This window comes from Homo sapiens, chromosome 5 (genome assembly GCF_000001405.40).
Source record: "Homo sapiens chromosome 5, GRCh38.p14 Primary Assembly".
Lineage (NCBI taxonomy): Eukaryota > Metazoa > Chordata > Mammalia > Primates > Hominidae > Homo > Homo sapiens.
This window is the reverse complement of record NC_000005.10, coordinates 107,952,173-107,972,756: the sequence shown is the minus strand read 5'-3', so window position 1 is coordinate 107,972,756 and position 20,584 is coordinate 107,952,173. Positions and strand designations below refer to the sequence as shown.

At 35.8% G+C, this 20,584-nt stretch overlaps 1 protein-coding gene across 4 annotated transcripts in view, besides 1 other annotated feature; it reads left to right on the top strand.

Moving 5' to 3' along the window:
* Positions 1-20,584, top strand: part of FBXL17 (F-box and leucine rich repeat protein 17) — a 523,064-nt gene that overhangs the window by 409,342 nt on the left and 93,138 nt on the right. Inside the window, exon 8 of one of the 4 annotated variants that reach the window (XM_011543575.3) lies at positions 14,622-15,322. The exons of the other annotated variants lie outside the window; for them this stretch is intronic. Within the exon in view, the coding sequence (XP_011541877.1) occupies positions 14,622-14,656 (35 nt within the window). The 3' untranslated portion in view covers positions 14,657-15,322. Of the gene's footprint in view, positions 1-14,621; positions 15,323-20,584 lie in introns of those variants that run through there. 4 annotated transcript variants of the gene reach the window in all.
* Positions 5,482-8,595: an enhancer, noted in NCBI's record as "VISTA enhancer hs1345". NCBI's record gives its function as "enhancer in: forebrain[12/12] | eye[11/12]" and the evidence as "EXISTENCE:transgenic organism evidence [ECO:0001131][PMID:17130149]".

Below are 20,584 nucleotides of genomic sequence, written 5' to 3'. Positions count from 1 at the left end.
ATAGATCATATGGGAAAAGATTAAAGGAGTTTGGTTGCTTAGCCAGGAAAATAGAAAGCTAAGCGGTGACTTAATAACTGTCTTATAGTATACTTATCATAAGAATGCTTATAAGAATAAGAATAACATATAAAAATAGAATGCTGACCAGTTCTCCATCCCTGTAGAAGAAAGAACAAAAGAAAATTAGTTTAAAGTAGTAAGGGGAAGCTTGATCTTACATTGGAAGAAACTTCTTGATTATAAAATATTATTAAGCCTGTCTAAGGCTACCAAGGAACATAATACAGACTTTGAAGATGTTTAAAATGAATGAACACTTACCTAGTTGGGAGGCTTAAGAGTTGACTGGATGGTAGAAACGAGCCAGACAACCTCTTGAGGAAATCTAACAGTTCTACCCTTGTTATAAAATATGAGTCATCTTCCTTTCTTATCTACCTATAAAGATACATTTACACCATTTATATTAAGACTTTATTTGATAAATTCAACATACAATTTTGTTTACTGTTTGCCTCTCTGTAAATAAGTACACTTTTTGTTTTCTCTTTTCTTTTCTTTTCTTTCATTTATTCAGCAAGTATCTTTTGAGTGCCTGCTCTGTGCAAAGCACTGTGCACAGGGCTATGAGTGATACAAAGAAGAACTGGACATTCCTTTATTCTTCCTTCACACACATTTGCTGGGCACCTCCACTCTGCGAACACTGTGCTACATGCTCAGAATTCAAATACATGTTCAGAGAGGGCTCTAAAGAGCTCACAATCTAGTGAATGAGTATAATAAGTACACAGAATTGCAGTGCAATGTGGTGAGGCCTTTGCCAAAGGTATGAGCAGGAGCTTAGAAACACATGGGATACAGTGGAGGCATCTAATACAGAATTGGGGTGAGGAGTTAAGGTTTGCTGGGGGAGATGGCATGTGAGCTGAATTGGAGTGGGGTGGGAAGTGAGCCCAGTATGCTCTAAAATGCCAATAATCATGTGAACTTTTTGTTCCTACCTAACAGGCTATATACTAGCAGTAGACATGAAAACGTTTGTTTCACTTTATCAACTAAAATGTTAGTGATTCTGTCCTCTGCCCTTTGTTTGCTCTTTAATAAAACAATGAAACCTAATTTACGGTCAGTTCTGTTATAAAGTGACAAAATCATCACACCACGCACCAAATTGTAGCTTATGAGAAAAGAGAATCAGGGGCGAACACTCAAGAACTTTATCAGGAACACATACAATTTTTAAAGGATGGGGACCTCATAAAAAATAGCATAGTTTTACACGTATTAAGTGGTTAAGAAATACATGCTAATACCACAGAACTACATATATACTACAATCAATGTGGCAGTGCGCCTTGAAAAAGACCTTAAGTTTACGTGTGGAAGTTGGCATCAGAAGGTTATGGTGACATGCTGGAAGTAGAACTATTTGAAATCCCATGTAAAAATGTACCAGCAGATGTGGAGGGGTGTGCTCATACGTAACACAGAATGAGATAGCTGGTAGAAGTTTAAGATGTGTGCTTGTGTGTGCTTTGTGAATTTCATCTCCCCAGCCCAGTTCTGCCTGGTGAAGTTTTCCATGTTGAACTGGTGTTTTCCAGAAAGAAACGGTAAGCAAATGTAATTTGCATTATGCTCAAATTGTTCCCTCATATATCAATCCTTTTGGAATAAATTTGTGACTTCAAAACATGTTTTATAGAAGAACTGACTGTACATTGTTGCAAATTAAGTTTATAATTTTTTACCTCACTTCTGAAATTTCTAGCATACTGTGTCTAGATTCTGTCGGGCATATCATAATTTTACATAAATCCAATTTTCTACTTAACTGACGCTCACATAAGCAACTTCCATTTCTTCCAGAGCAACATTTTTCTCTGGGCTTTTCTAACACGGGGAGCACCTGCAGGGAACTTGGCAAAACAGGTGAAGGCCGTGGGAGCACAGGTAGTTTTTCTTGCCGTCAGAGCCTCCATACCTACAGCAATCCTTGGGGAGGTGTGGTAACAAGGGCAGCAGGTCTTTTTCCACTCTGGCAAGATAAATGGCCAACGTTTCAAAGGAAAAATCACAGGAAAGTGGGACTTTGGCCATGATCAGCCTCTACTACCAGGCACGCAGAGAGAGCCATGCATGCAGGAGCAAAGTTTTGCCTTCTAGTAGAGTTGATAGGTCTAAAGAACAGGCCTTTTCTTTCTGCTCTTATTTTTGGCTTTGATCATAGATTCTGGCCTAAGGGATAGAAGAAAACCGCACTAGACGAAATTAAAGTTAAGGGCAGAAGCGGTAGCAGCTGTGGGGTTGGGTAGTGTCCCTCAGTGGGCACCTGTCCTTTTTCTGAAATATTTTTCCCACAGAAAATATATAAGGGGATGTTTTGCTGTATATGCAATGTGGTGGTCATTTTTTTTCATCTAATTCAAGTGTTTCTGCAAGTAGTGCAGCTCTCAGTTATATTACCTAAGGCAGGAGAGAAGAGAGTTTTGAACTTGCGTTTGGTAACAAAGAGAACCATCACAGGTCCTCTTGTTCATGCTGAGCCCTAGAGTCTCCAGCCCAGAAAGGGAGTGGAAAGTTCTATCTGCCCAACTCCCAAATTAAACAGCCATTACATAAAAAATGGGGAGCTGAAGGGTTAACACACACCAGATGATACAATCCTTACATAGCCTGAAGCAAACATTCAGCTGACAAAAATGTTATTGTATGTTCTCTTTTGAAAGCCTTAAGATATGCTTGGGTTAATTAGATTTCTAAATATGCAAATATGCCCTAGTGAGGTTTTTCTGAAATGCATCATTTTAAAATTATGTAGCATGGCATTAGTGTTCAAAATACTGAATTGTAAGATGATGCCTGAATAGCTTACTAACATATCATATAAATTCATAATTGATCAAACCCATGTATTCCCCACTGTCCACATTATACTGTTCAAATTGGGTTAGAAAGTTTTATGGAAATTAGGTTCTCTAGTATGCTTTAGGGGAAGATCAAGCAGTAGTTTAAATTGCAGCCGTAGTTCTTGAAAAATGCCAATTCCCTTGTCTAATATCAGTGTTTCCAGTGTGCTCAGTTTAGGCAACATGAGGCTTCTACAGTCCTGAGACTGTGGATCACCTGAAGGAAATTAGAAGAACACAAACTTTGACCTTAAGGGGAAAAAATATTTTAACAAGGGCATCTGAATTGACTTAACTTTGTTCACCTGCTTCTGCCAGTGAATAATTTTGGGATTTCAACTTCTAAATAGTTTTTTTTTGAAATATGAAGAAAGATATCTTTATTTGGGTGTTCTATATAAATGGGTTTCTGGTTAATTGAAATGTTTAGGCTGTATCCATTAAACAATAATGAGTCATTTTTTCTGGAAACTTTTCTAAAATGCATTGCATTTTTCAGAGATTTGTTAAAGAGTGTATACTAAAGTGTACTAATCATAAACGAACAATTTCTGTGTGAGTCAAATGTGCCATGTCCACAGTACCCCATGCGGTATGGAAAGCTATTTATCCATGCTTTCAATGACCTAGACCACGGTGTTGACAGCCTTTTCTGCAAAAGGTCAGATAGTAAATGTTTTAAGTTTTCCGGGCCACCTAGTCTCTGCTGCTGCCACTCCACTGTGTCATTGCACTGGGAAGGCAGCCATAAACAATATATAAGTGATGAACATGGCTGATTTCCAGTAAAACTTTGTCATCAAACAGGCAGTAGGTTGAATTTGGCCTGCAGGCTGTGGTTTGACAACCTCCAAGTTATGCTTGGGTAATTTTGGGGAGTTCTTTCTTTCTTGGGTTTTTTTGGGGGGTCATCATGGCCATTTTTGATGTTTTAGTGTTCTTGTATTCCTACTTTTAGCAGTATATCCTTTCTGTTTACTTACTTTGATGTGCTTTATACTACAAGGAAAAAAACTAGCTTATCAGAATTGTTTCTAAAATAAGAGCCACTAGACTCCAAGCAAGGTTCATAAGGCTTTCCTATAAAGAAAGTACAGAGTGCATTTGATATGGCATTCCTTCTCAGTGCTTATTCAGAGGCAATTTTTATTTATTTTTGGATTATTCACCTAATTGTTGGCATGTAAACTAAGTTTTATATTAAAATAATTTTGTTATGATTCATTAGGTTTTTGTAATGATTCATCACATTCACTTAAAAGTAAGAACAAAATTTTCAACTACATTTTCATGGGCATAGTTTAGTGTTTCTCATCCCATGTTTTCCATATTTATGAATGGTTTAGCAAGAGTAACAGATGTGTCTACTCTAAAAGAAGAGACTAAATTGCCTTTTACAAATGAGAAGAAATTGCCCTGCCCTCACCATGATCAGTGTACTAGAATATTTTATGCTTACATCTCGGTTTACTTTATATACATAAGTAAACTTCTTTTTTTGAATTTTCAGGAACTCTTTAATCTGCACACACAGCTTAGTTGTTGAGAGCACTGGATCTGTGTTCAAATCCTAGCTCTATCACTTATAGCTGTGTCATATTAGACAAGTTACATAACTTTTCTGAAAAAAAGAGCTCTTCATCTGAAAATAGGGACTCCAAGGATACCCACCTGAGAGCATTGTTTTCTGTTTCTTTGATGCTGTTGCCCTTGTTACTCTATTCCTCCTCCTTTCTGCCAGTGACACTCACATCAAGTCTAGTTTTAAAACTTAACACATAATCAAAACATCATATTTATACCTTTAAATATGTACAGTTTTGTCCGTTATACCTTAGTATAACTGGAATAGCTTTTTTAAGCTGAAAAAATAATGTGCTATTTTCAATACCACCCTGTTAAAGCCAGTTTATCATTGAAGCAGATAATAACTAACATTAGATAAAATTATTTGTCCCACCTTAAAGTAGGTGACCACATGATACATGGAATATAGGAAGTTAGTATTTGTAACATAAAAAGCTGCATCCAATTACAGAAATTTTTTTTACCCTTTTTGCTATTACATCATTAAATATTTAAGCTGTAATTTACATCTAATTTGGGATGCATACTAGGTAAAATATTGAAAATGTTGTTTTTTTCCTATTCTTTTTTTTTTATTATACTTTAAGTTCTAGGGTACATGTGCATAATGTGCAGGTTTGTTACATATGTATACATGCACCGTGTTGGTGTGCTGCACCCATTAACTTGTTGTTTACATTAGGTATATCTCCTAATGCTATCCCTCCCCCCTCCCCCCACCTCATGACAGGACCTGGTGTGTGATGTTCCCCTTCCTGTATCCAAGTGTTCTCATTGTTCAGTTCCCACCTATGAGTGAAAATGTTGTTTTAAACGGGTCCTAAAATATAGACTGCCAGCTCTCGGAGAAGGGTATATAAACTTAGCTGTCAACATTGGTCAAGTTCTTCCATGCCTGCACATCTAAGCAGTTCTAGAGATTTGATTCTGATCTTCGATTTCCTACTTACTGTCACCACAAGAATTAGGTAGATCTAGTTTCCTACTGAGCAACTGTCCAACAGTTAGTGTTATAATAATATTTACAGAAACATCATTCTCAATCTCCTTGGTATACACAATTTAAAACGATGTACAAAAAAAGAAAAAAAAATTGAAATCCTAACTCACAAGGACTCCAATAATGATATGAATAGTGTAGTTGATGGAAGGTACCTTGGGTAGATAATTAAGCAAATTGGGTTTTAATCTTGTCATGCCACTGATTCACATTGATAGCCAGATCAAGTTACTTAATCATTCCAGGCAAGAGTTGTCCCATCTTTAAAAGAGAAGATGGTACTTTGGTTTTATGATGACAGAATAAAGATACTTCTGCATTCTTCTCTTGAAAAATTACCCAAAACAAGGAAAAAAGAAACACACATTTCAATTATTATTAAAGTAGATCACCGTACTCCTAAAACACAACCTGCAAAACAGGAAAGCAGATGGAAGAATAAAAAAATGTTCATAATGATGGGGAATTTGGGAACTAGATGTGGTGATAGTTGTACAATAAGGTAAGTGTAATTGATGCCACTGAATTGTGCACTTAAAAACAGTTAACATGGCCAATTTTGTTATATACATTTTACCACACAAATTTTGTAAAGGAATGATAAGGATTTAGTGAGAGAAGTGAGGTCGAACAAAAATGCTTCCAGGTTGAAAGTACCAAAGAGCAGCTACCCAGTTTACCTCCCAGAAAGGTCTGAGAAATTGGGAGCCAGGTAGTGAAGGTGTGGGTAGTGGAAACAGGGATTGCTTGAAAAGTATGTGTAAGTTACAACTGGATCTCCTGATCTCTCCTTCCTCGAAACATTCTCTGTCACTGGACAAATGACCTCACCACTTCCATCCTGGCAGGAAATGATGCTCTTGGAAGATTGAATTAGAGAGCCTCAGGGCTTGGAGACTGCAGGGTCTCAAGAGGGTGAGATCAGTCTGAAAACAGGGGTGAGAGTCTGGTACTAAATGTAATATCCCAGCCCCTTCCCCTGAGTAACTCCAAAATACAGATAGTCAGGGCTTATCCCTTTGAGCCATTTCTGATTTAAAAATATGGAGATGAAGAGCCAACGCAATGGCTTGCAAGAGTTGAAAGTAGTGTCTGGAGAGGAGGAGGGGAAGGGATAGGGCAAATACCCCAAAGTTTTCAACAGGCTTTTTATTATTGTTTAATTTTTATGCCTGTAATACTCTGGTTTTAAAATGATTAAAATAAATTTACAAGGTGTAAAATCAGGGAAAATTTCTAAGAGCCCATTCTACCTTTTGTTTGTTTTAGTCAGATTCAATCATATCGTCTTTTATAGAAAAAAAACTGTCACTAGACTCTTGATTTTTTTTCCCTAAGGGGAAAAATATCACCAAAATAGCTATTTGTAAGAAGTGCTAATTGGTGTCATCATATTTTATGTGTAATTCATATTTGTATTGGGAACATATTTTTCCCTCCAGTAATTATGTATCTGTACACTAGACTATGTCTATTTCAAGATCACTAAATTGGTCCTAATTCAGAGTGTCTAACATTATAACCTCAACTGGCTATACCTCCATGTATAATTTTTCCTATGAAGGAAGCATTTGCTAAATAATGGAACAGGGTATGTTTAAAAACATATTTGAGGGAGAAACATTCTATCTAACATCCAGCTGCTTTGCATTTGCATGGAAACTGTGTGCTAGTTTCAAAGGATCTTATCTATACCTTGGAGAAGGTCTGGGATTTTCTATTTTACAGCATCTTATTTCCATATAGAGATATCTCACCAGCCTACTCACTCATTGACCTCTATTTTAATTCATTTTTATAAATCGAAACAATGAATTGATTTAACAGGCATTGTTATAATAGGTATTTTTCAGGAGAATTCTGCAATTGATTTCTGCAGTTCTTTATATTTGATCCCATGAAAAGACCATTTTCATCTTTTGTTTTTATTTTCCAAACATACAAGCGTTGTTAAACCTCTTTAGAAACTGCTTTTGAATAGTCATTCTTTGTGTAGAAAAACTACAGTATATTCCTTAAGTGAAATTCAATCAACTACTTTTATGGTAACTGGGCTTAAAAGACATCAATGAAAATACCCACACAAGCTCTTAAGATCAAGGCATTTGTTTCAGCTGACTTTAGTATGTACTTACCCATTGTGCATCAAATGTTGAGCAAAATAGCCAGATTTCTAATAAGCAAGTACAATATAGACAAAAGAGAACACTGATTTAGGGTCCTGGTGTCAAATGCGGTAAAACACTCTGTTTATAGCAGGTCAGGCTTGGGTTTACAATTAGCACTAATTACTGAGAAAAAAATCAAAACCTCAGCTTTAAGGAAGGACACTTTTCACTGCAAGATCAAAGCCAGTCTCTGCAGAATAGGGAAGCCTCTACCACTTAATTGCACTGAAGTGCTAATTGGATTGTAAGGTACTTTCATGAGTTTCCCCAATTAGCCAGCCATCCCTGACAAAATCCAAAAAGAAGAGATTATGAGTTCTTAGAGCTTTTGTCTATATAGTTGTGATTTGTATACCTGGGTGAATGTAGCCTTGCCTTCTTTTTATGTAAATTGAGGTCTTTGGGGTCTCAGTTATTAGCTTGCTATAAATAGCCTTGAAGGTAAAGCTATCCATTGTATATAAAGTCTTAACTGTGTACTAATGATAATGGGACAAAATTTAATGGGGACTATCAGTTCTATTAAGATTCTTAAAGTATGAGAATTGGGTACAGCTTCTTGGCTCAGGATTTTTATCTTGTGTAGTTATGATCCAGTTTGGATATTTGTGTTACATTTTATATTTGTATTACATTTTATTACTCTTCATTCTGGGTAATTTTTTTAAAGGAACAGATAATCAGTAATTTCGTAATGTTTATTCTCTAAATAATAAGTTTTATCCCTGAGAATAATTGATGGCTCTAATTGTACTTTGCCTATACACTGCATCCCCTGTGATTTTTATTGTTGTTGTTTGATCATATAAGGCAGCAGCAATTCTGCCAGCTCACCACATGAAAGCACATATGACAAAGTGATCTCTTTGGGCAAAATTATCCATTTGGATGAAGAAAATGGGAACCTTTGGTTGATGCCAGGTCTTCACTACACAAAGTGAAGTAAAAAGTTGCCAGCTGTGCAGTGAATTCACCTGTCTGTACTAGAGTGGAACCATAATAAATCTTATAAAGCTCCCACTGACATAAAAACTATGCTACTTTATTCATATTTCTCAAACTTTGTTTGGACATTTGCCTAAGTGATAAATGTGTTAGGTCTCCATTGTACTGGTAAAGCAAGATGAACTTCAGAAATATTTAAAGGATTTTTAGATGTTCTGAATTATCTGATGATTAACCTCATTAATTAGAAAAGAATCTATTTCCTACAATTTTTAGTTTCTGTTTTATAAAGCCTAGAGTGAGTTTTCAAATAATAAAATTGTTTATTTGTTTCTCTGAAGTTTGAGTCTGACACAGAGAAGCAACATGATTTTCCATGCTCCCAGAGCTAAATGTGCTTTCTGCTCAGTTATTGTATTTTATAGTAAATGGAGGTATTATGATAATAATAACATCTACTGTGTATGAAATTTATACTATTAAGTATTTTACATACTTTATCACTAACTCTTACAATAACCCTAAAAGAAAAAGTAGTGCTATCCTCGTTTTAAAGGAAATAAAACAAGTTTAGAAAAGTTCACTAGCACAGCCATTAAGAAACACAACTCCTAACTAGAGAATCCACCATTAAAACCCATTTTTTTTCTGACTTCAAAGCTTTTGCTTTTGTCTCATTAAAATTAGTGGCAAATTAGATCCCTTCCCTCATGTTTAGTCTTAACACCTTCCTGTACATTTATTTTATAGGACTTATTATAATTATGTATAATATACACATACACACACACAGAGTTTTGTTTAATTTCTCATTTCCCATTTTGGGACCAGGGGACTATGTCTGTCTTATTCATCAGTGCTAACAACAGTACCTGGCTCACAATAGGCCCTCAATGTATGGGTGGATGGGCATGCCAGTATCAGAGCCATGGGCTTCTAATGCCTCGACTAATCCCTTAAATACTCTGTCTGGTAAAGTTCTTCAGTTTATAAAATATGAGTACTTTAGTAAAAGATCAGGACACCAGAATCTTAGAAATAATAAAAAGAAAATATCTTTGATCTTTGATAGTATGAGATTAGCACCTCCAAATATTTTAAGTGTTTTTTTCCTTCACTGGGAACATATAATTTTCAGTTTCAAATGAAAATGTTTCCTAATGGAGGATGGGTTTTGTACCATGAAATTACTCATATAACTTTTAAAAATTAGATTTGGGTGGTATGCATTGTATAAAATAACTGTCTTCTCTATCAAACCTTATACTTTTGCCAAATTTGGGCACATCTACAAAGACTTCTATATAGATCATGAAATAACTGAAGTCATTAAAAGAAATGTATCAAGCAATATAAATTTATTGATATCTACTTCTCCATTCTAATTTATGAAAAAAAATTAGCTTATAGATAGACATGTCTCCTTCAAAATGAAATCAGATTTGTTCATTAAAAAAAAAAAACTTTTAACGCTTGCCCTGTTATTTAATTCCAGAAAGACTAGCTCATAGATAACTTTTAAAATGCATTTAATAATGTAATAAGCAATATCAATTTAAAAATTTCCCTTGGCATGCAGGATAGTAGCAATAATATCCATGTATGTTTTTTGAGTTTTGTATGTAAATGGTATTTTCTATCCCAGTAATATGTATTTGTCATCTTTAAAATGAAAAAATACCAATATCCAAGTTATACAATACATGTGTTGTGTAGCTGGTCTGACACAGAATGGATGGGTCAATGATTGGTAGCAATTTATATACTAGAATGTTATGGTCACAGTGAAAGCATAGATTGCTAAATGTCATTAATGCTGTTTTACTCTACATAAAAATTTTTATACTACAAATTATAACTATCATTTTATAGGTTTAAATAATTTTTAACTGGTGAGGTATACGTAACATAAAGTTTACCAGTTTAACCATTTTTAAGCGTACGGTTCAGTGGCATTGAGTATATTCACAGTGTTGTACAACCATCACCACTATCTCCAGACCTTTTTCATCATCTGAAAGAGAAATTGTATAGATATTTTATTTTTAATCTTAAAATGGTTCTTCCTTTCAAAGAACTATACAATAGAAGTATATTTAACAGATCTATAGTGAACATAATTTTGTGCTCACATTTGTTATTCCAAAGGCATTTCACTGTCTGATGAGTCACATTTACAATTAGTTTCTTATTGTAAATGTAAATAAAAGTATCATTTTAAAAATGTTAACCTTTTCTTCTTCAAACCCCAAGAGCCTGTCTCCTAGCCTGTGTTCCCTCTCACCTATCTGCACAGACATAGACCCTATCCCATGATCATTTGAAATAAAAAAGTTTAGCTGAGAAGCCCATGCAACCATGAGATAGGCTGTCTCACATTGAAATGCAAGCATTCTTGAATCAGGTATCTTTTAACAAATAAAATATTTATCAGGACATACATTTTATGATTTTATGTTCCATTTTATCCAAATCTTACCAGGTTTTGACTCATTTTGTCTTAATCATGAGTTTGAATAATTTGTAACTACTTCTTCTGTCCTTGCCCCTTGCCCCACTCTTACTGCCTACTCCCACTCTACACCCCCATCACATTGGTTAATCAGAAGTTGCCTGGCCAGATGTGGTGCCTCACACCTGTATTCCTAGCACTTTGGCAGCTCAGGCAGGTAGATCGCTTGAGCCTAGGAGTTAGAGTCCAGCCTGGGCAACATGGCGAAACCCTGTCCCTACCAAAAAAATTACAAAAATTAGCCAGGCCTGGTGTTATGTGCCTGTAGTCCCAACTACTTGGGAGGCTGAGGTGGGAGAATATCTTGAGCCTGGGAGGTCAAGGCTGCAGTGAGCCAAGATTGCACCAGTGCACTCCAGCCTGGGCAACAGAGCAAGACCCTGTCTCAAAAACAAAACAAAACCCCCCAAAAAAAGAAAAGAAAAAGAAAAAAAGAAAGAAAGAAAAGAAAAGAAAAAAGCAGCTGACAGCACCTAAAGTTCCCATGTCTGTGCTTCTTGCATGTGTTGCTTATTCTACCTGACGTGTCTCTCACCAACCTGGACCCCCACTTCTTTCCAGCCAGCCTGCTTCTCCGTATCACTTTTTACTCAGCTTAGACTTCACTTTATCAAGGAAAACTTCTCTGGCACCCATCCTACCCACCTCTCCTCAGTTCCCCAGTAACTTCCTGTGCATACCCTCTGGTAACCTGAGTCACACTCTACTGAAAATGTATACTTACTTCCCCTTCTTTGTCTATAGATTTGGAACTCCCTACAGTTTGGATTGTGACTTACCTGTATCTCGATTTCCCAGCACAGTACCTGGCATGAAGGAAAAGGCAGTCAGTAAATAGGTATTCAATAAATGTTACAGTATTAGCATTTTTTTCAGTTGTAGTAGTAGTAGTTGTAGTTAGACCCAAGAACAATGGATTGCTGGATTTGTATTTTTTATTTATTCAGAAACCTTTTTGAATTACTTTGGGACAACATGGATTAACCTATGGGACATTATGTTGAGTGAAATCAGCCAGGTACGGAAAGACAAATACTGCATGATCTCATTTATATGTAGAATCTATATTGAACTCCTATAGAAATCTAAAGTTGAAATCTAAAGTAGAAATCTAAAGTTGAACTCCTGGAAGCAGAGGGTAGGCTGGTGGTTACCAGAGGCTGGGAGTAGGAGGGAGCAGAGAGTTGGTCAAAGATACAAGTTCCAGTTAGAGAGAAGGAATATGTTTTTGAGGTGTGTTGCACAGCATGGTGAATATGGTTAGTAATAATGTATATTTTAGAATTGCTAAGAGAGTAAATTTCCAATGTTCTCACCACAAAAATGATATATGAAGTTATTATTCCATAGTGTATACATATCTTAAAATATCACATTGTACACCTTAAAAAAAAGAGAAAGAGTAGATGAATGAGTAACTATTGAGGGACTTACTGAGGACAAACTGTGTCCTAGAACCGTGGATAAATGAGTAAGCTTTAGTCCAGATGAAAAGCAAGGTAACTAAAGGAGCAAAAATAAAAAGGAACTGAGAACCAATAGTAATCACAGAGTTCTCCGGATTTCTGTCCCTATGATTCCTGTTCTTGATTAATCTGAATATCAGTTTCCACAACAGAGTAAGGCCCTGGGACTTCTGTGTCACGTGGGAAGGAAAGTACGTAGATTAATTTTAGTCACTGAGAACAGATCTACTGAAACATCCCCTGAAGGTAGTATGGATTTTATTACAAAGTGCTGAATAAACCTCCCAGAGCTTTTCTTGCCTTTGTGAGACTATGTTAGTTCAACAGATGAGAAAACAAAGTTTCAAAGAAGCAGAGAGCTCAGAGGTTGTTTCTGACCACAACTTCAGCAAACTTCTTTAAGCCCTATTCTGTGTCAATCAAGGCCAGGTTGGAAAAGACCTGAAAACTGTAATGTTTTTAGTAACAAATGTCACACTTAGTCCCCATATTATAAGAACCATTATGACAAAACTTTATGCATTGGGGATGTAATAAAAGCCACTCCTATTAAAATATAAACAAGATGTGGTGGTTAGCATGCTTTTCACAGTGTGACCATTGAAATGTACCAAGCAAATAAACCGGTGAGTTTGATGAGTGAGCATAAGGGGGCGTGAGGTTGATTAGAACCAGGCGAAGGCAGGTGGGGCACAACACAACATATGTACAGAAATAAAACATGTTTCAATAATAAAGTGTTGCCTGTGTGTGTGTGTGTGTGTGTGTGTGTGTGTGTGTGTTTATAGCAGCCCTGTATGTTAAATAATGACCATGACTCAAAACACTTTAGTTTTCTGTATTACCAAAAGTAAATTGAAAATATATAAGGTACTTCTAAATTATTCTTGACTACCCCTCTGTACACAAAGTGCTCCTTGTACCCTGCTAGACCCAGGGCTCTGTGACTGATAATTTCACCCATCAGCATTCCTAAATTAAGGTTAATGGCCAGCCCTGAATGCAGAGGGCCCCCACCTATGAGGAGAACAATTCCATGGCCCAAGCACTCATCAGAAATATCATGGCGTGTGGTGCGTGTAAGAGAAGGCCCTCTGATGTAAGCACCAAGGCTGTTACCATGGAGACCACATGATTCAAGTCACTTCCTGATGCTAACGCACCTGATCTTCAATTCTTCACTAGTTTCCACAGAACCTTGACCATACTTGACATTTTAAACTCTAATATGCCAGAATTTATTTTAAGAAAATGAGTGATCTATATACAATTTAGAACATGATGTAATTTTTCCATTATTTTCTTCTCAGCATTATGACAGGATTATTTTCCATTTAATTTCGAATGTAATTCTTTTAACTTAGATATTTCTGAGAAAGCACAGGTCTGCCTAATACATGAAAAATGGGTCACAGGTATTAGCTGGCAGCCACATTATCTGGGAAAAGGCAGGGACTGGAAGAAGAAACTGTTGTTTTAGGGGCATGCCAGGAGCACCTATATACATGTTCACTTGACAGCTCTTGCACCATTGCTTGACGAAGTGAGGCCGCAGGACAGAGGAGCACATAAGAGCTATCTATAGATTAAACAGCTAAGTCATCTATGTTTCAGTGCTTTTTAAGGACAAGTTACCCTCTGGCTGGCAAACTATAGAAGGAAAGATAATTTAAGCTTTTCTTTCTTTTCAGAAGGAAGTAGGAAAAACTATATGAGATGTTGATTCTCAAATTTTCTAGCTGGCTGCAGTGCAGATTACTCTGAGGTCCATATAGTACATGTTTAGTTCTGAGATTAAAGATTTTATATTAGTCCATAAACTAAACTAAAAAATTAGAACTAAAATGGGGGAACATTGATGGCCATAAAGGGAAAAGAGATATTTAAACCTATGAAAAAATAAAGAAGCAGTTTTATATCTTCACGTGCTCTAAACAGCCACCAAAAAATAAATAAATAAATAAAGACAGAACCTGGGCTATCTTTTCTCCTTTTCTTTTTACTCATGTTTCTTTTTTTTTTTTCAAGCTACTCCATTTCTGTGTACCAAAGTTGACTCATAATCATAAGGGAAATAATCGCGCTGTTCACCTGTATTACATGGCCATTGAACTATTTCAACTTAGACCTTTTCTCTGCCGTGTCAACAATTAACGATGTATTACTTGGACACTGGGCCTCACTCCCTGCACAGAATGCTTCGGCCAGAGACTGCTGTTTAAGGATACTTTGCCTGTGTTGATGTCTGCTCCCCACAGAATTGACCAGGTCATCTTAAAACTGCTCTGTGAACATGGAAAATGGAGATTCATTTTTCAGCATTTTTGTTTTCTTCCTCAATCCAACTGAATCACTAGGAAGTTTCTACCACAATTATATTTTAAATATGTACAAATTATGGCCTAGGCAGTCAAAGTACAGTTGAAAGTGCTTACTTTTTCTATGTGTGTATGTCAGTATGTGTTTGTGCAGTGTTTGGGCGTGCAAACCAATTTAGGTTAAATCTGAGGTGATGTGAGCGCAGAACTGTATAGGTGTTTTAGTTGGAAAAATAGTATGTGCTGCAAATTTAGAACGCATATGTCATCAATGAGTTAAAATTTGTATGGAGATCTGAAAGATGATGTCAACTCTCTGTTCACTAACATCATTTTTGAGTGTAGTCCTTTTTAAATAATATATTTCTAACTGTGTATTCTAAATAAGAATTAAAGCTTCTCTTCTTGTGAGTGATTTTTTTTTTATAATTAGACCTGGAGCCAGTTTTCTCTAACCAATGGGAAAAAATCTTGTTTCCTTTTTCTCCATTCCAGTGTTAGAACTGTTTATTAGCATGTTACTTCCTCATCACACTAATTGGCTGAGTATAGTGAACAGTCGGTGGAACCAGATGTCGTTTACACCCACTCTTCCTGGGTCTCTGTCCCTATTATCCTCACCTGGATTACTTACAAAGCTGGGGCCCTTTGTCCTGTCAGCTATATACTTCTGGTATAAGGAATCTTAATCAGTGACACCGAAAGGTTGAGAAACCACAAAAGAAAGAAAGGAATAATCAGGAAGTGACTATATTAAGTAAAGCAGTGAAGCCATGTAAATCTCAAATTAAAGGAGTCAACCTCACAGTACTGAAGGTGGCAAATTACATCCTAATTTTAAATGTGAAATCGATGCTAATTCACTTGCTGCCATCTCAACACTATCAGTGCCTAGAGTTGAGCACTGAGAAAACTCAAAAATTTGTCTTTATTTTGAAGCAAGTTCTTTTTGGTGCTTCTCTTAGTTTTTTCCTAAGCTGTCCAGTAAGTATTCTCTCTTCTGCCCACCCACTGAAAATTAATTTTATGAAATAGTAGTACAAATTTTCAATATTTCTTGAAATCAGCTTGTCTTGGGGAGTTAGGAGCACACCACCCCAGAGTAGTCAGTTTCTTTTATTGGCTGCTGTTCTGAGGTACATTCTGTGGACCAGCTGCAGAACAAGTTAATTGTCACTGTGGGGATTGAACTAATTATACTATTTTTGAAAGCCTCCTGTGTGTCAGACTCTTAACGTAAATTTTCTTTAATCCCTAAAACATCTCTATGAGATATTAAAATACTTTCAGATGAGAAACCTAAATCTCAGAGTTTAAGTAACTTGCCCAAAGTTAGATTATAAAGGGAAAAACTGGAGTTGGTGCCTCTGGTGTATCTGAACTCTGATCACTACGCCTTACACTTTTAGAAAGCAAGCTCCATGTTACCAGCACCATCTTGTATACAAGTGAAGTGGCAAGCCAAGTTTTTCTATAGCAGTGGTTCTGAAACCTCGTGCAAAATAAACACCTTGGAACATAGTAAAATTGCAGGTTCCTTAACATACCCGCAGAGATCTCAGGAATCTGAGGTTTTAACAAGTGCAAGGTAATTCTGAAGCAGATTTCCATTTTGAGAATCACTTTCTAAAGATATTAATAAAATTATTTCTATTATCTATACATTCATCCATTGTGTGTGTGTGTATATCTAGAAGTTTCCATAATAATTTTCACTTGAAGGAAAAAGAAATTGACTTTTACTACACAATGATTATGTTTTTGATGGTTTTATGACAACCCCTTTGCCATTGATAAGATTCCTTCTGTGTCCACTTTCTTCCTCCCAAGAAAGCTGAAGGGTTAGTTTTGCTTTCTTCAGATGAATTAGAGGTAATTGGTTTTGAGGTAATTGATTTTTTAGCAAGTAACGCTAAAGATGTTTTTATTTTCATGGGATCAGAATTTATTTGAGATTGATATCTATTAGTATTTTGAGGAACCTTTCTCTTGACACTTTTAGCCATAGACATGATATTAATTAGTAGACACAACTTATTTTAAGAGATGTTTGAGAGGTGGGCTATTCTGAAACCAGATATAAAAGCAGGCTACCTTGAGAATCTCTGTCTCTGAGCATTTGGAGGAAAAATAGGTGTAGCAACACTTTTTTGTTATGAGACAAATTTTTAGTTTACAAAATTAGTTTTTCCATAAGCCAGTGCATTTTTCATGGAGAAGGGCTGTTGGTGACACTTACTAAAGTGCTGTAACATTTTGCTAATTTGAAAAAGGTCTGCTTCAGATCGATTGCGACCTTATCAATAGGATGATCTCATTCATCTCCTTTGGAGGCTCTTGTCACAGCGCACTGCAATAGCTCTGAGCTGCCTCTACTGTGATTGCAAAATCAACATTAAAGAGGGTTTCAGATCACTTTGTGGTAAAGTGAAGCATCTTTCTGATGTTTCTTAGTTATTGGTTTTTAAAAAGTAATCTTTCTTAGTTTTTTTGTTTTTAAAAAATCTCAAACTTATGCTACTCACGTTAGACACTCTAATTTTTTTTTGTTAAGACTAAGAGCTATTTAGGTGAGAGAAAGAACTATTTTGTGATGTGTGTTGAATTTATGGTCCTTTGGCCTAGTACTTACTCCTAGTTAATGTTAATTTATTTATAAAAATTATTCTATTATTTCTTGTAATTTTTTAAAAAATCAAGAAATAAAAGATGTCATCCTTTCTAGTTTACTAGCTTTTAGCATTTTATTTTTCTAAGAAATTGTTTTATAATTAAAACTGATCATTTTCTTTCCTTGAAGTTGGGTAAAACTTAAGACAGTCAATTTTCAAAGTGCTTTACATATTCCATTCTTAACATCTACGGGGTGTCAGTAAATTAACAAGATTGAATTTCCTGGGTGGCTTTGGAAGTAAATCTCTGGCTTTATGAGCATGTTTAATATCAAAATAGAAATTTTGCAACCTATAGTTCTTAAGCCTCATTTTATAGATAGGAATTTCCTATAACCTTCTTCCATTTATCTTCTGCTTTTTATATTTATTAATTTTGTTCTAACTTTTCTAATATTAATTTATCTCAATTGTCCTTCATTTATAGTCATCTGTGATCAAAACCACTTTCTTTCCATCTGCTGTCTTTTCATTCATCTCTCCTTTTAAAATCTGTTTCCTCTCCTGTAGACTCATGAATATGCCATGGTATGTCAACTTCTTGGACTAATTAGGAGGGTTTTTAAAAAGAATTCTCTACTTTGGAGATTGTCATTCCTCCTGTGTACCAGTCTGAACAATTAAAATCAGCTGTCTTTGCCTACTAATGATTTCTTAAAGGAGAGTGTTTCCTTTTGAGGTCCCTTGCACTCTGTAACAGTGCTCCTTCCATGGCCTACAGGCCCACTGACTGTGGTTCACTGCATGATTCAGCCTGCTTTCTGAACTGCTCTTTCCTAATGAGATATCACTGGTCTTTTAAAGTCATTGCTATTTTAAATTATTTTTGTGTGATTTGAATAGGTAAATGTCAGGAAAAGTATTTATTTAAATGGCCCCATTTTGGTAATGTACATAATACTTGATGGTTATTTTATATCCATTTTATTTTGTGCATAACTTTTCTCATACTTTCTTTCTTCTCACTTGGAATTAGTATATTAAATAAAATGTTCTTTTAAGAGGAATATTTATTCAGAACTCAGTTTCTATGGTTTTAATATTCAAAACTATCAAAAATATTTGCAAGCATTTTATTCATGTTTTAGAGATATGTCAGCCAATAACAAGTTATAAAGAAATGTGATTCAACACAGTGAGAATTTATTGAGTACCTACTAATCATAAACTTATCTAGGTCTTATGAGAAATACAAAACAATTTAGAGTTTAGTCATTAGTGACACAGTAAGATATATGATTAAGTATCAAAATAATTGGTGGATTCAATCAATGATGTATGATTTTAGAGGAAAGAGAAATTAACATGAATTAATTACTTTGCAGGGTTTCATTGAAGAGCTGGCATTTGCACTTGTTCTTGAAAGATGGATATAATTTCAATGTACTCGCTATACCAAAGACTTATTGATTATATTTAGAAGGTAAAAAGGAAGGAGTCAAAGATGATCTTACGATTTCATGCAGGGATTACCTAGAGAGTGAGACATCATTAGTGAAGAAAGATGTCATGGGAACTGGCTTGCAAGAGAAGGTGAAGACTTTGCTTTTGGACATTTGAAGTGTGAAGTCTAGTAAGAAGGCAGATATACAAGAGAACAAATGAGATACCAAAGCTAGAAAGGGAAGCAGTATTGTATGATAGAGAGCAGCACATAACTGGAGTTTTGGAGACCTGTGTTCTAGTTCCTTTCCTTACACCAACTAGATGGGTAAATTTAGTCAAGCAACTTCATGGATTCCATCTGCCTTTTTTTTTTTTTTTTTTTTTTGAGAGAGAGTCTCACTCTGTCGTCCAGGCTGGAGTGCAGTGGTGAGATCTCGGCTCACTGCAAGCTCCACTTCCTGGGTTCACGCCATTCTCCTGCCTCAGCCTCCCGAGTAGCTGGGACTAAGGCGCCCGCCAGCACGCCCGGCTAATTTTTTTTGTATTTTTAGTAGAGACGGGGTTTCACCGTGTTAGCCAGGATGGTCTCGATCTCCTGACCTCGTGATCCGCCCACCTTGGCGTCCCAAAGTGCTGGGATTACAGGCGTGAGCCACAGCGCCCGGCCTACATCTGCCTTTTTTTTTTAAAGTATGAAACAAGAGTCTTGAAATTCCTTGTACCTTTAACATGCTGGAAATAAACATTTCAGAGTTCTCCACTCAAAAGCAATAGCTGAATCTACAAAAGTACATCTGACCTGTGAGAGGGGAGGAATATTTGGTGGGAGTAATGGAGGAGGACTGAGCCTTGAGGAATACTGTAGTTTTGAATGTAAATTATATAGATATAGATTTCCCCCTAGTTATTTGGATTGAATATTTATATATTATGCATCAGGAAAGTCAAATTAACTTATTACCTATTCTAAGAAAAGCTGGACTTCCTTAGTCCAAACTATATTCATGTACACTGTATAGTTTAATCTGAATGTGTGAATATTTCAACATGCCATTTATGCCGTTTGAATAGTTCAGCTAGCCTTGCTTCAATCTCTGATTACTTACTCCAGGTCTACATTTTGGAACCATGCCAATATTTGAAATGTAACCACTGAAAACGTCATTGGGTTATCTGAGCTTTTTGATGGTATATTAAAATAAGACAATCACATTTGTGCGTTCAAAATGTAACATACATCAGAGAACCTGTAATTCAAACAGTTCCACGAAGACCTAACAATACTTTCTTTAAGATTTGACCCTTTAATAAGAAACAATTATATTAAAATACTCATCATTTCTAACCAACTCTGTGACTGAAGTCTGCAAATAACAAGTAAACTTTATCCCTAAAGATGATACTGAAATAGTTTCAGTTATAGTGGAGGCAGATGTAGAAAATTGCCAGCACCTAATACATCCACTTTAATTTCAAGACTATTAGTGATACAAAAAAATTCAGTTTCTATTCTGTCAAGGGAAATAAACCATAGAAGGATCATTACAGAAGAATACAAAGAGTAAATGTAAAAATATTTGAAAGAGAGGAGCCATCAGTTATTTATTTTATGTTT